Source organism: Homo sapiens, chromosome 17 (assembly GCF_000001405.40).
Source record: "Homo sapiens chromosome 17, GRCh38.p14 Primary Assembly".
Classification (NCBI taxonomy): Eukaryota; Metazoa; Chordata; class Mammalia; order Primates; family Hominidae; genus Homo; species Homo sapiens.
In genome coordinates this window covers 77,028,179-77,041,384 of record NC_000017.11, presented here as the reverse complement: position 1 = coordinate 77,041,384, position 13,206 = coordinate 77,028,179, and positions in this window count along the sequence as shown.

Here is a 13,206-nt window from a genome sequence, read left to right as displayed (position 1 = left end):
AACTCCTGACCTCAAGTGATCCTCCTGCCTCGGCCTCCCAAAGTGCTGGGATTACAGGCGTGAACCACCATGCTTGGCCTTCCTTGTGTATCATGTGGGGATCCAGGCACAGCCACTACTCCTGGGAAGCCCTCCTCCTGGTGACCGGAGAGGTGCAAGAGGCAAGCTCAAATGCATGGTGCACCTCAGGCCTCTGCTGTGTCAGGCCTGCTCACACCCCATTGTCCAAAGCAAGTCCCATGACTAAGCCTGAAGTCAAGGGGCAGGGAAGTACATCTTGCCTCTGGTTGGGAGAACTGAAAATTCACATGATAAAAGGTGCAAATGCAGGGAGGCGATGAGTTAGGGCCAGTACTTTCATCTACCGCAGTATCTGGGGGGCATCTGCAAGCAATTAAGCCATTTCCTGGAGTATTGTGTGCAAGACACAGGGTGAGAAGAAGGCATTGATGAGACAGGCAAAGTGCCACAACTGAAGACTGCGGGTACCGCACCGAGCCTGTGCTAAGGAGCTTGGGCTTTCCTGACAGGTGATAGGGAGCCTGGGAGGGCTTTTGAGCTGCGGTGTGGCACGAAGAGGTTTGTGTTTTGAAAAGTTACCCTGGGCCGGTGCGATGGCTCACGCCTGTAATCCCAGCACTTTGGGAGGCTGAGGCGGGTGGATCACAAGGTCAAGAGATTGAGACCATCCTGGCCAACATGGTGAAACCCTGTCTCTACTAAAAATACAAAAATTAGCTGGGCCCGGTGGCACACGCCTGTAGTCCCAGCTACTCAGGAGGCTGAGGCCGGAGAATCGCTTGAACCTGGGAGGCAGAGGTTGCAGTGAGCTGAGATGGTGCCACTGCACTCCAGCCTGGCGACAGAGCGAGACTCCGTCTCAAAAAAAGAAAAAAGAAAAGAAAAGTTACCCTATGACTGTGTAGGAGGGATTGAAGGTGACAAGACGGGTTGTGATCCGGGGGGAGACACAAAAGTTCTCGTGTGTGTGTGTGTGTGTGTGTGTGTGTCCCTCTATTTTTTTTTTTTTTTTTTTTTTTTTTTGAGACAGAATCTCGTTCTGTCTCCCAGGCTGGAGTGCAGTGGCGCGATCTCGGCTCACTGCAAGCTCCGCCTCCCGGGTTCACGCCATTGTCCTGCCCCAGCCTCCTGAGTACCTGGGACTACAGGCACCCGCCACCACGCCCGGCTAATTTTTTGTATTTTTAGTAGAGATGGGGTTTCACCATGTTAGCCAGGATGGTCTCGATCTCCTGACCTTGTGATCCACCCACCTTGGCCTCCCAAAGTGCTGGGATTACAGGCGTGAGCCACTGCGCTTGGCCGTGTCCCTCTATTTGAACAGGTTTGAACCAGCCTGTGATCACAAGAAAGGGGAAGGCAGAAGGCACAGATCTGAGAAACGTTTTGGCAGTAATGGCAGGACATGGCCAATGCCGGATTTGGCAGATCAGGCCACATGAGCAGCCAGGTTAGGACACCGGGGCTTCAAGCTTTGGAACTGCAGGCTCCAAACCCCTCTGGAGACTTTGGTAGGAGATGTGGCTCTGCAGAGAAAGAGCAGGAACGTGCATTTCAGTGTGGACTTGCCCAGGCATTGCTGACATCCTTCTAGGGAGGCAAAGGTTGGAAGAGGAGCGCCTCACGGCAGGACCCTCTTCGGTTTATCCATTGATGGACCCACAAGGTCTCACACTCTGCCTGGTGACTCACAGGCATTCATGAAACGAGCGGTGGTTTGAGATCTCTCTGGGCATCTGAGTCTGGAATTCAGGGAGAACCCTGGCTGGGAGTCACCATTTGAGGGGTGTTTAGGTCCAGGTGGTCTCTGCAGCATGTGGGGACCAACTTCTCCGTAAGAGTCCTTTATAGACTGGTGATCATTACAGCCACCACAGCTAGGGGTTGTTTTTCTGTCTGAATCTTTTCTTCTCTACGTTGAAGAATTCCTGCCCCCTGACCCTCTGCAATCTGTTGCCTCCCACCTTCCCGGCCCCTCACCGCCTCCCCTTCCCACACCTTATGTTCTTCTTCACAGCAGGCTCTCCGCCCACCCATCTCTCAAGCCCTGCACTGTCTCCTGTCCCTGTGCCTTTACTCATGAGATTTTCTCAGCTCTGAAGCCCTTGCTCTCATTTTTGTCCTGATATGCTACTCACCCTTCAAGGCCAGCCTCCAATGCTGCCTGCTCTGTAACGCCTTCAGCACCTCCACCCATCCACGCGGCCTTCAGCACCTCCACCCATCCACGCGGCCTTCAGCACCTCCACCCATCCACGCGGCCTTCAGCACCTCCACCCATCCAAGCGGCCTTCAGCACCTCCAGCCATCCACGTGGCAGGGGGTGCTCCCTTCCCATCACGCTCACCTCGCCTGCACCTCCTGCCCTGCCAGGCTCCAAATCAAGATGCAATATTAAGGCTGGTCGTGGTGGCTCACACCTGTAACCCCAGCAATTTGGGAGGCCGAGGTGGGCGGATCACTTGAGGTCAGGAGATCGAGACCAGCCTGGCCAACATGGTGAAACCTCATCTCTACTAAAAATACAAAAAATTAGCCAGGCGTAGTGACAGGTGCCTGTAATCCCAGCTACTCAGGAGGCTAAGGCAGGAGAATCACTTGAACCTGGGAGGCAGAGGCTGCAGTGAGCTGAGATTGCTCCACTGCACTCCAGCCTGGGCGACGGAACGAGACCCCATCTCAAAAAAAAAAAAAATGCTATATTAAGTGTTGCTTTGGCCAGGTATGGTGGCTCATGCCTGCAATCCCCACACTTTGGGAAGCCAAGGCAGGAAGATGGCTCGAACCCAGGAGTTTGAGAGTAGCCTGGGCAAGATGGAGAAACCCTGTCTCTACAAAAAAATTAAAAATTAGCTGAGCATGGTGGCACATGCCTGTAATCCCAGCTACTTGGGAGGCTGAGGCAAGAGGATCCCTTGAGCTCAGGAGTTCAAGGCAGCAGTGAGCTACGACTGCACCTCTGCACTCCAGCCTGGGCTTCAAGGTGAGCTCTGTCTCTAAATAAAATAAAATAAAATCAACAAGTGCTGCTTTGATATCTTTGAGCCCCACAAAGCCCCGAATGGGCCTAGTAGCTGTGAGGCCTCCTGTTCTCACCAGGCACGCCCCCCCACCCAGCAGGAAAGGCTGCTTACCTGGTTCCCGCATCAGCTAGATTGGCTACGCCCCACGTGTCTTCAATCTAACGGTCTCACCTCCCTGCCAGCCAGTAGCATTATTCAAACAAGCCAATCAGAGGGCAGCTCACCCTTTTGTTACTACAAAGGCTGCCCCTCACAGCCCCTCTGGTTCACTCTGCGCTGGGGTGTACCCTCATGTGGTCCTGCATGGCCCACAGTGTCTTCCTCCTCCAGAAGTATCTGCTAGTAATAAGCTGGTGTCTCATCAGTCCAGTATTGGTGCCATGTGTCTGGCCACCTTCTACTGTGTAGTGTGGAGGATTCCCACAGGGTGAAGAGGAAGGGATCAGGGCATCTCCCTAGCTGCTCCAGTCAGACCTTGGCCTTGGTTAGGTGCATTTTTGCCCTGTCTCCTCTTTCCCTCAAGGTCAGGGATTGCGTGGCCCCATCCTGGCAGCCCCAGCACCTTGCTTGGCCCATGGAGGGGACTCGGGATCTGTCTTCTTAGTTGGTGACTTCTGCTCTCTCACCCCCACCCCCACCCCTAGCTGCTCCCAGCGTCCCTCCTCCAAGTTCCCCACATCTCTCTAAGACTCATTACGCCAAAGAAACGCTTGCAATTTGGAGCTATATTTTGCTTTCTAAGTCTTCATTGTGCACGTCTAGACTGAGTTGGGGGATTTTGGACAAACATTTATTAACCACCGTGAGTCCTTGCAAAGATTTCCTGCAGAATCAATACCCCGAGGCCATTTAAATATTGTCTGAAACCAAGCCAGTCCCCCGCTCATCTCCCTTGCTCGGCTCCAAATGATGTTTAATTTTTCTATAAATTAACTCGCACAATGTCACACCACATTACTGCACCTTGGAACATTCCTATTCCGATCTGCGAGCAGCTGACACGCCAGGCGATGGCACGATTTCCTCCAGGAACGTTTCTCTGTAATGTGACTGATTACAATATAGCTGGCTGCAGGAGAAGCCGCGGCGCTCCAGCCGGCTGAGGGTGAGCCAACACAACCCAGAGATAATGAATAATGGTTTGTGGCAAAACTGATAATGCGCCCACTATTATATTGACTGGGGCTGCGGCTTCAGTTAATCGTGCTAAATTGCTAGGCTGGAGCTGTGTTCCGCCGGGCTTGGCCGCTGCCTTCCTCTTTTGAAAATTTCCATTTGTCTGAAGTTGGGTTCTTGTCTTTTCCTCCTGCCCTTCTATTCAAATGAGCTGGCTATTTTTGCCGGCGGCCGCCTGTGGGAGTGAGAGTTTGAAAGGCATAAGAGCTTGGACTCCATCTGTCGGCCTGTGTGCACACCTTCCCATCTGAGTGCACACCACGCACCCGCACAGCACTGGGTGCTAGGAATGTGGACGGGCAGCTGTTGTGCACTCCCCACCTGCCCTAGAGGCTTGTTGTCCAGGGGAGAGATGGACATCGCACCAGTGATTCCAGCGCTGCCCGTTAAGGGCTCTGTGTCAGCTGAGGTCAGACCAGGAGTCGCTTTAAATCTTGCCTCCTGCGCTTTCCAGCCATGTGACTTTGAGCATCTCTCCTTGTCTGTAAAGAGATGATGCTCATGAGCCCATTGCAGAGTGTGATGGTGTTAGATGGATCCCATCATAGACCGCTGAGCTGTGCTTGGCACATAGTGAGTGTCTCCCAAATGGTTCTTATCCTGGTGGCAGAGGCCTGTGCAGATGGCTACAGGTTGCAGAGGACGGAGAGACTGGCTCCCTGGAAGGTGAGGTGATGCTGGAGTTGAGTGTTGTAGTGAGGAGAGGTGCAGAAGGGTGAGCCTGGGGGACGGCACAGAGGCCTGGCACGTCCAGAGAGGGCAGGGGAAGGCTGGGCCGGAGGGTTGGATGGTGTGTCTTGGGGAGAGGCAGCAGGTGCTTGCTGGCCTCTGATTTCAGCCGAGACAATGGGGACCCCAGGGACAGTCCTTGTTCACCTCCAAGTACTGCCCTGAACTGTCTCCACCTTCAGCCCACACTCAGGGCAGTCCCAAAATGCAGAGGGGCCAACGTCCCCTGGGACAACCCTGGAACACGGAGGCCTGGAGTCGCCGCATCCAGGCCCGTGTGTGTTGGGGTGGGAGGTGATGCTGAGGCACATCCCAAGCAGCTCCTAGCGAGTCCCCAGCAGTCTGAGCCTCAGGCTCCTAACACAACCTTTACTGGCTTGTCCTTCATTTCTGCTTCCTGGGGTCACCCTCAAATGAACGATCCCCATCCATGCCCTTGCTTCCAGCTAAGGGAGAAAGGTGCACACCTCGAGAGCCTCCTCCCACCGAGCTTGCCCTCCCTCAGCCAGATCCTGAGAAGAGGAAATTCAGGACCCAGCCCTTCTCTGTGACACCTACAGTGGCTGGTGTGGGGCGTGAGAAGCCCTGTTTAAGAGGGTCACTGGGCAAAAGAGTGAAGCCATTCCTGCCTACCTTTCCACTCCCATCCCCAAAGCAAAGCCTGGCTGGGAGGTGACAAGGCAATCCCAGGTGGCAGCGGCTGGGCGAGGGGCAGCAGTGGGAGTGGGGGAAGTCAGGGAAGGGGTGGTCCCACTCTGGGAAAATTCACACAGAGAGGAAGTAGATGTCTGCAGAAAGCCTTGGTACAGGAGAGGGGGTGACTGCTCGCAGAGGCACCCAGTCACATGGACCCGGGTTCAAATCCCACCTCCACTGCTTACGAGCTGTGTGGCCTTACTCAAGTCACTGCCTCCTCTGTGCCTGTTTGTAAAATGAGAGGTTAATAATGGCATCTTTCTCACCTGGGCACATGAGTTCAGAATGAGCTCAAGTCTGCAGTACCAAGATCAGGTCTCAGCACCAGGTAAATGTTCGAGACTCGTGAGCTGGTACTGCTGATAAAATGACGCCATGACTGTGGCATAAGGACCCCGGTGGGGGCTGGCTGAGCCCCTCTCAGCCTCTGCCGCCTCATCTCTGCACAGCACAGTGGGGCAGGAGGCCCTGGGCCAGGCCCCCACGTGGGGCCTCACCCACAGGAGCCCCTTTGAGTTCGGCAGGGGGCACAGGGCTTACCTCCAGTCTCTGAGACCTGCCCTGCAGAGTAATGGCTCGGAGTGAAGAACCAGCTGGTGAGCTGCAGACATTTTCCTGAGTCTTTGGGGACTGTTTATCACCGCCACAGCCCAGAGCAAACCACTTTTTATAGCCAGTTCTGAGGGAGGGTTTGCAAAGGGGGGCCCAGAGCCTCCTGATCCCAGGGCTGGGCCTGGAGGGGGCTGACTCCCCAGGGGTTACCCCCACTCCGAAGATCTCTATCCTGGGCTCCCTTTGGGGGCCTCTTCACCCTCTTCCCTGCCCCACACTCCCCATCCAGGCCGCTTGGTGCCCCCAATGGTCAAGGCATGATTCTGCTCCTCAGCCACGTTTCATTAAATGGACAATCAAATGTGAATTGGTGTGTGCACTTTTTTGTAACGCTTTTTATATAAGTAAATGGCTAAATCGGGAAAACATCTTTGGGCAGACCATCTGTCTCAATTTGAGCTTTGAAAAATGTGGTCACCTCGCAATGTTCCCGTGTCAGACTCTAAAAACAAGAAACTGGGCAGGCAAGCGAACATCACTCACACTCCGAACTCGACTGTCTGCTTTGCTTCGGGAATCACTGAAGCTTTCCTTCCGGCCACAGCTGCTGGGGCTGGGGCTGCCCGGAAGAGGGGCCAGCTGGGGGAGGCGCTGGGGCCTTTGCAGGGGTTGGGGGCAGATGAGAAGTGGCCCACCTGCCCCTGGAGCCTCAGTGGATCCATAGTGCGCACACACAGTTGCATTGATGCTCTGCCTTTTTATAATTTTTCACATCTCTCTGGCTCTCACGATGGTCAAACAGGGCTTGGTCTGTTTGGCAGCCCACGGCAAAGCCATCTCTAAGTGGCACCCCACCCCCCAGCCCACCTGGTCCTCATGATGGAGAAATCCAGGTCACAGCTGGGCAGGCTCCAGAGAGGAGTGAGGCCGCTTGGCACTAAAGAGAATGGAGGGTGGAGGAGGAGGCAGTGGGTGGCTGAGTGGAGGAGAGAAGCCCACGTGCACAGGTGCAACAGTGGAAAAAGACCCCCGGGCCGGGTGTGACGGTGCATCCCTCGGGAGGCTAAGGTGGGAGGATCTCTAGCCCAGGAAGTCGAGGCTGCAGTGAGCCATGATTGCACCACTGCACTCCAGCCTGCGTGACAGATCGAAACCCCCATCTCTTAAAAAAAAAAGCCAATTAAAACTAAAGACAACCCCTGGCTGAGAATGCTGTAGAGGCAATTCAAGGACAGAGCTCGTGCTGAACAAAACATGCCTTTAAATTTTTAACTCCTATAACCGATTTCTCTTGTTTATCATATTGTTTGAGGCTCCGTGAAGGCCCAGGCAGGAAAATAGAAAGCACTTCAGGTACTGAACCCAGAGAGAATTTAATGGAGAGAGTGTTGGGAAAGCCAGCCTTGGGCGTGCAGTCTCTCAACCCGAATAGTCACATGAGAATGGGCCGTGGGCCCAGATCACTTCCTTACAAATAAAGAAAGAGCTCTCCCAGCCCGTGCTGGGCATCTGTCTTCGGGGATACCTTTCCCTGTGCTTGACTTGATGGGCCTTCTGTTCTGCCTGAGTGTGTGCATCCTGTGGCACCCACCACCCACTGCTCTATCTGTTCCCAGTGGGGGGTTGGGGTGAGAGGGGTGCACGCAGACCCTCTCCCTGGAGTGCTAGGCCACGTGGAGCGGCGGGGGCTGACACTCACTATTGCAGCTGATCATGCTCCACCTGCTGTCTAGGTGAGTCTAGCATGGTTCCATCCTGTGCCTGTGTGAGTCGTGTCTTTCTTGGCACCGTCCTCACCCACAAGCCACGCAGGGGGCTGACGTCCCAGGACTGCTGCTCCTGGTGGCAGGACCCGCCACTCAATAGGGCTCTTCCACTGAAGGTGGTAACAGGTATCACTTGCTTAACACTTAATGATGGCATGGATGATAAGGGGGCAGGGATGGGAAGCTGCTACCACGCTGAGGGATGGAGGGACAAAGGGAAGATGTGGAGCTACCAGGACCTCAGGACTGGGGTCACTTGTGGAGAGCCATGGGTGGGGTCACAGCCATGCAGAGATGTAGCCCAAGACAGAGAGGGAGAGCATGAACTCCCCAGAATGCCTACCCTCCAGTCTCCCACCAGTGCCTCCCATGGACTGGAGGCAGTCTGGGCCTAGAAATAGCCTGCAGAGGTCAGACCCGACCACAGCTGCAGCAGGTGAGGAGGGACCGGGGCAAACAGGCCCACCATGAGCCAGCGAATGCACACACTGCATCCTCAGAATAACACACAAAATGTGCTGAAATGGTTTCCGACGGCTGCTGTCACTACTTACACAAACATGGTGGCTTAGACAACAGTTATTCTCTTACAGTTCTGGAGATCAGAAATCCAAAATCACTTTCACTGACTGGGTGCAGTGGCTCACGCCTGTAATCCCAGCACTTTAGGAGGCCGAGGTGGGTGGATCACTTGAGGCCAGGAGTTCAAGATCAGCCTGAGCAACACGGTGAAACCTTGTCTCTACTGAAAAAAAAATTAGCTGGGTGTGGTGGTGTGCACCTGTAGTCCCAGCTACTTGAGAGGCTGAGGTGGGAGGGTCACTTGAGCCCAGGACTTTGAGATCAGCCTAGGCAATATAGCGAAACCCCATCTCTACAAATAATACACACAAAAAAATAGCTGGGCTTGGTGGTGTACGCCTGTTGTCCCAGCTACTCAGGAGGCTGAGGCAGGAGGATCACTTGAGCCCAGGAGGTGGAGGCTGCAGTGAGCTAACATTTTATTTTTGAGACCCTTTCCCCAAATAAAAATAAAAAACCACGTTCACGGTGCTGGAATCCAGGTGCTGGTAGGCGGCACTCTCTGCGGAGGCTCTAGGGGAGGCTCTTGTTTCCTTGCTTTTCCAGCTTCTAGAGCTACTACGTTCCTTGCAGTCCTTGGCTTGTGGCCTCTTCCTTCATCTTGAAAGCCAGCAGTGTAGCATCTTCAAATCTTTCTGCCAAAGTCCTCACATCACCTTCTTTTACCCTTGTAGTCAAATCTCCCTCTGACTCCCTCTCCTAAGGACACTTGTGATTACATTTGGGGCCCATCCGGGAAAGCCAGGATCCTCTCTCCACCTCAAGCCTTAATCACTTCTGCCCAGGCCCTCTTGCCATAGAAGGTTACATTCACAGCTTCCAGGGATTAGGAGCTGGATATCTTTGGGGGCCATAATTCAGGCTTTCATGGGTACAAAAGTGGACACTTCCTGTAATAGTTAGCTATTGCTGTGTAACAAATTACCCCAACATGTGGCAGCCCAAAACAACAAACTTTTTAAATCTCATGCAGTTTTCATGGGTCAGTTATTTCAGAGTAGCTTAGCTGTGTGGTTATATCTCAAGAGGTTGCAATCAAGCTGTCAGCCAGGGCTGACATCACCAGAAGGTTTGACCAGGCTGGAGAATCCACTCCAAGATGGCTCCTCACACAGCTGTTGCAGGAGGCTTCAGGTCCTCACCACGTGGGCTTCTCCATGAGGCCACTTGAGGTTCCTCACAGCATGGCTGCTGGCTGGCTTCCCCCAGACTGAGAATTCTGAGAAGGAAAGCTGGCAAGAAGCCACGGTACCTTTTATGACCTTGCCTGCATTAATTTGTTAGGGCTGCCAAAGTACCACAGGCTGGGTGGCTTACACAACAGAAATGTCTTTTTTCACGATCCTGGAGGCGAGACATTGCAATCAAGGTATTAGCAAGATTGGTTTCATCTGAGGCCTCTTTCAGAAGGCTTTCTTTCTTTCTTTCTTTCTTTCTTTCTTTCTTTCTTTCTTTCTTTCTTTCTCTCTTTCCTTTCTTTCTTTCTCTCTTTCTTTCTTTTTCTTGTTTCTTTTCTTTTTTTTTTTTTGAGGCAAAGTCTCACTCTGTCACTTAGGCTGGAGTGCAGTGGCATGATCTCAGCTCACTGAAACCTCCACCTCCAGGATTCAAGCAATTCTCCTGCCTCAGCTTCCTGAGAAGCTGGGACTACAGGTGTGTGCCACCACGCCTGGCTAAGTTTTGTAATTTTAGTAGAGATGGGGTTTCACCATGTTGGCCAGGCTGGTCTCGAACTTCTGACCTCAGGTGATCCATCTGCCTTGGCCTCCCAAAGTGCTGAGATTACAGGGGTGAGCCACCATGCCTGGCTTCAGAAGGCTTTCTGAGTCTCCCTTAGAGATGGCTGTCTTCTCCCTGTATCCTCACGTGGTCTTCCCTCTGTCTATGCTCGTGTCCTAATTTCCTCTTCTTATGAGGACATCAGTTAGATTGGATTAGGGCCCACCCATGTGACATTATATTACCATAATTATCACTTTAAAGGTCTTATCTCCAAATACAGTCACATTCTGAAGTACTGGGGGTTAGGACTTCAATATATGAATTTGTCAGGGGACATTATTTAGCTCCTAACAGCCTCAGAAGTGACATACTTCTGCCATATTCTCTGGGTCAGATAGACCAATCCTACTACAATAACGGAGCGACTACTTCAGGATGTGGACGCCAGGAGGTGGGCTCAATGGGGTCTTCTTGGAGGCCTCTCCCTTTATGCCCAGAAGAATTTTTTTTTTTTAAATGGAGTCTCACTCTGTCACCCAGGCTGGAGTGCAGTGGTGTGACCTCAGCTCACCACAACCTCTGCTTCCTGGGTTCAAGCGATTCTCCTGTCTCAGCCTCCCGAGTAGCTGGGATTACAGGCATGCGCCATGATGCCTGGCTAATTTTTGTATTTTTAGTAGAGATGGGGTTTCGTCATGTTGGCCAGGCTGGTCTCGAACTCTTAACCTCAGGTGATCTGCCCGCCTCGGCCTCCCAAAGTGCTGGGATTACAGACGTGAGCCACCACACCCGCCAAGAGAAATTCTTACTAGTTCTTGCATATATTTCTAGGGCTACTGTATATATGCTCAGCCACATATGTACAAGAAGTGCACATGTATACAAGTGAGGTGTATAAACATGGTGCCCTGTACCTTGCTTTCTTCACTTAGTAAGCCCACAAGGAGCGGCCTCATTCTTTTTTGGATTCCACTGTATGAATTGCTGCCATTTAATTAACTGATCCCCTGAATATTTATGGGTTTTTTTTTTTTCGAGCTGGAGTTTTGCTCTTGTTGCCCAGGCTGGGGTGCAATGGCACAATATCAGCTCACCGCAACCTCTGCCTCCCAGGTTCAAGTGATTCTCCTGCCTCAGCCTCCCAAGTAGCTGGGATTACAGACACTCACCACCACGCCCGGCTAATTTTTGTATTTTTAGTAGAGACAAGGTTTCACCATGTTGGCCAGGCTGGTCTCGAACTCCTGACCTCAGGTGGTCCACCTGCCCTCTGCCTCCCAAAGTGCTGGGATTACAGGCTTGAGCCATGGCGCATGGCGAAGTTTATATTCTTTGCAATATTTTGCCATTGCACATAATGATGCAACAAATATTCATCTACTGGTATCATTCCTCGTGTGTGCTAGTATATTTGCAGGGTAAGTACCTGCTGTGAAATTGCTGGGTCAAAGGCTGTAAGTCTTTAACAGATGCTGTCAGATGGTGAAGTTGGTCTCTTGAAGGTTTTTCCAGTTTACACTCTTGTGAACATGGTGCAGACAGCCTGTCCCTGCAGTCTCACTGACAGCATGTGGTCATCCTTTCACTCTCGCTGATCTGCTGAAGTGGTATCTTGGCCGGGCATGGTGGCTCACACCTGTAATCCCAGCACTTTGGGAGGCTGAGGCAGGAGAATCACTTGAGCCCAGGAGTTCGAGGCCAGCTTGGGCAACATGGTGAAACCCTGTCTCTACAAAAAATACAAAAATGAGCTGAGTGTGGTGGCATGAGCCTGTAGTCCCAGCTACTCGGGAGGCTGAGGCGGGATGATCGTTTGAGCCCGGGAGGTAGAGGCTGCAGTGAGCCGTGATTGCGCCGCTGCACTCCAGCCTGGGTGACAGGGTGAGCTCCTGTCTAAAACAACAACAGAAACAACATCTCGGTGTAGCTTTAAAAAAAATTATTGAGGTAAAATTTGCATAACATAAATTTAACCATCTTTAAGGTGAACAATTCAGTGGCATTAAGTACATTCACAGTGTTGTGCAATCACCTCTATTTAGTTCTAAAACATTTTCGTCACCCCAAAATAAAGTCCCCTACTCTGCCTGTAGTCCCAGCACTTTGGGAGGCAGAGACAGGAGGATCGCTTGAGCCCAGGAGTTTGAGACCAGCCTGGCAATATAGGGAGACCCCGTCTCTATGAAAAATGAAAAAAATTAGCCAGGCATAGTGGTGCATACCTGTAGACCAAGCTACTTGGAAGGCTGAGGCAGAACGATTGCTTGAGCCTGGGAGGTCGAGGCCTCAGTGAGCCATGATTGTGCCACTGCGCTCCAGCCTGGGTGACAGAGTGAGATCCTGCCTCAAAAACAAAAAAACAAGCAAACAAAAAAGAGTCCACACCCGTGAAGCATCATTGCATTTCGCCCTCTGCCAGCCCTTGGCAACCACCCATCTGCTTTCTGTCTCTGTGGACTTGCCTATTCTGGACATTTCATGGAAATCATGCAATATGCGGCTCTTTGTAAATGGCTTCCTTCACTGAGCACCATGTTTCAGAGCTTCACCTGTTTGTGGTGTGTGTTCCTTCCCTTTCATGGCTGGGTAATATTCCACTGTATGACACACGGCATTGTGTTTATCTGGTCATCTGCTGATAAACCCTAAGACCACTTCCATTTCAGTGTGGTTTCAATTTGCATTTCCCTGATTATGAGGGAGGTTGAGTTTCTTTTCATGTGTCAGGTGCTCTTTAGGGCCCTTTCCAAACCAGAGGCAGGATGAGCTGGAGACAGGATGAAGCTCAGGGATGCACTGCAGCTGCACTGAAGTGCCTCATCCCCATCCTTCGGGTTCCAGGGCCTTTGGGTGTCAGAGGAGAGTGGCCTCCCTCAGGAACAGCCAAGTCTGGGCACCTGAGCCTGGTGGAGCCAGGAGGGCCCTGGAGTTAATGCAAA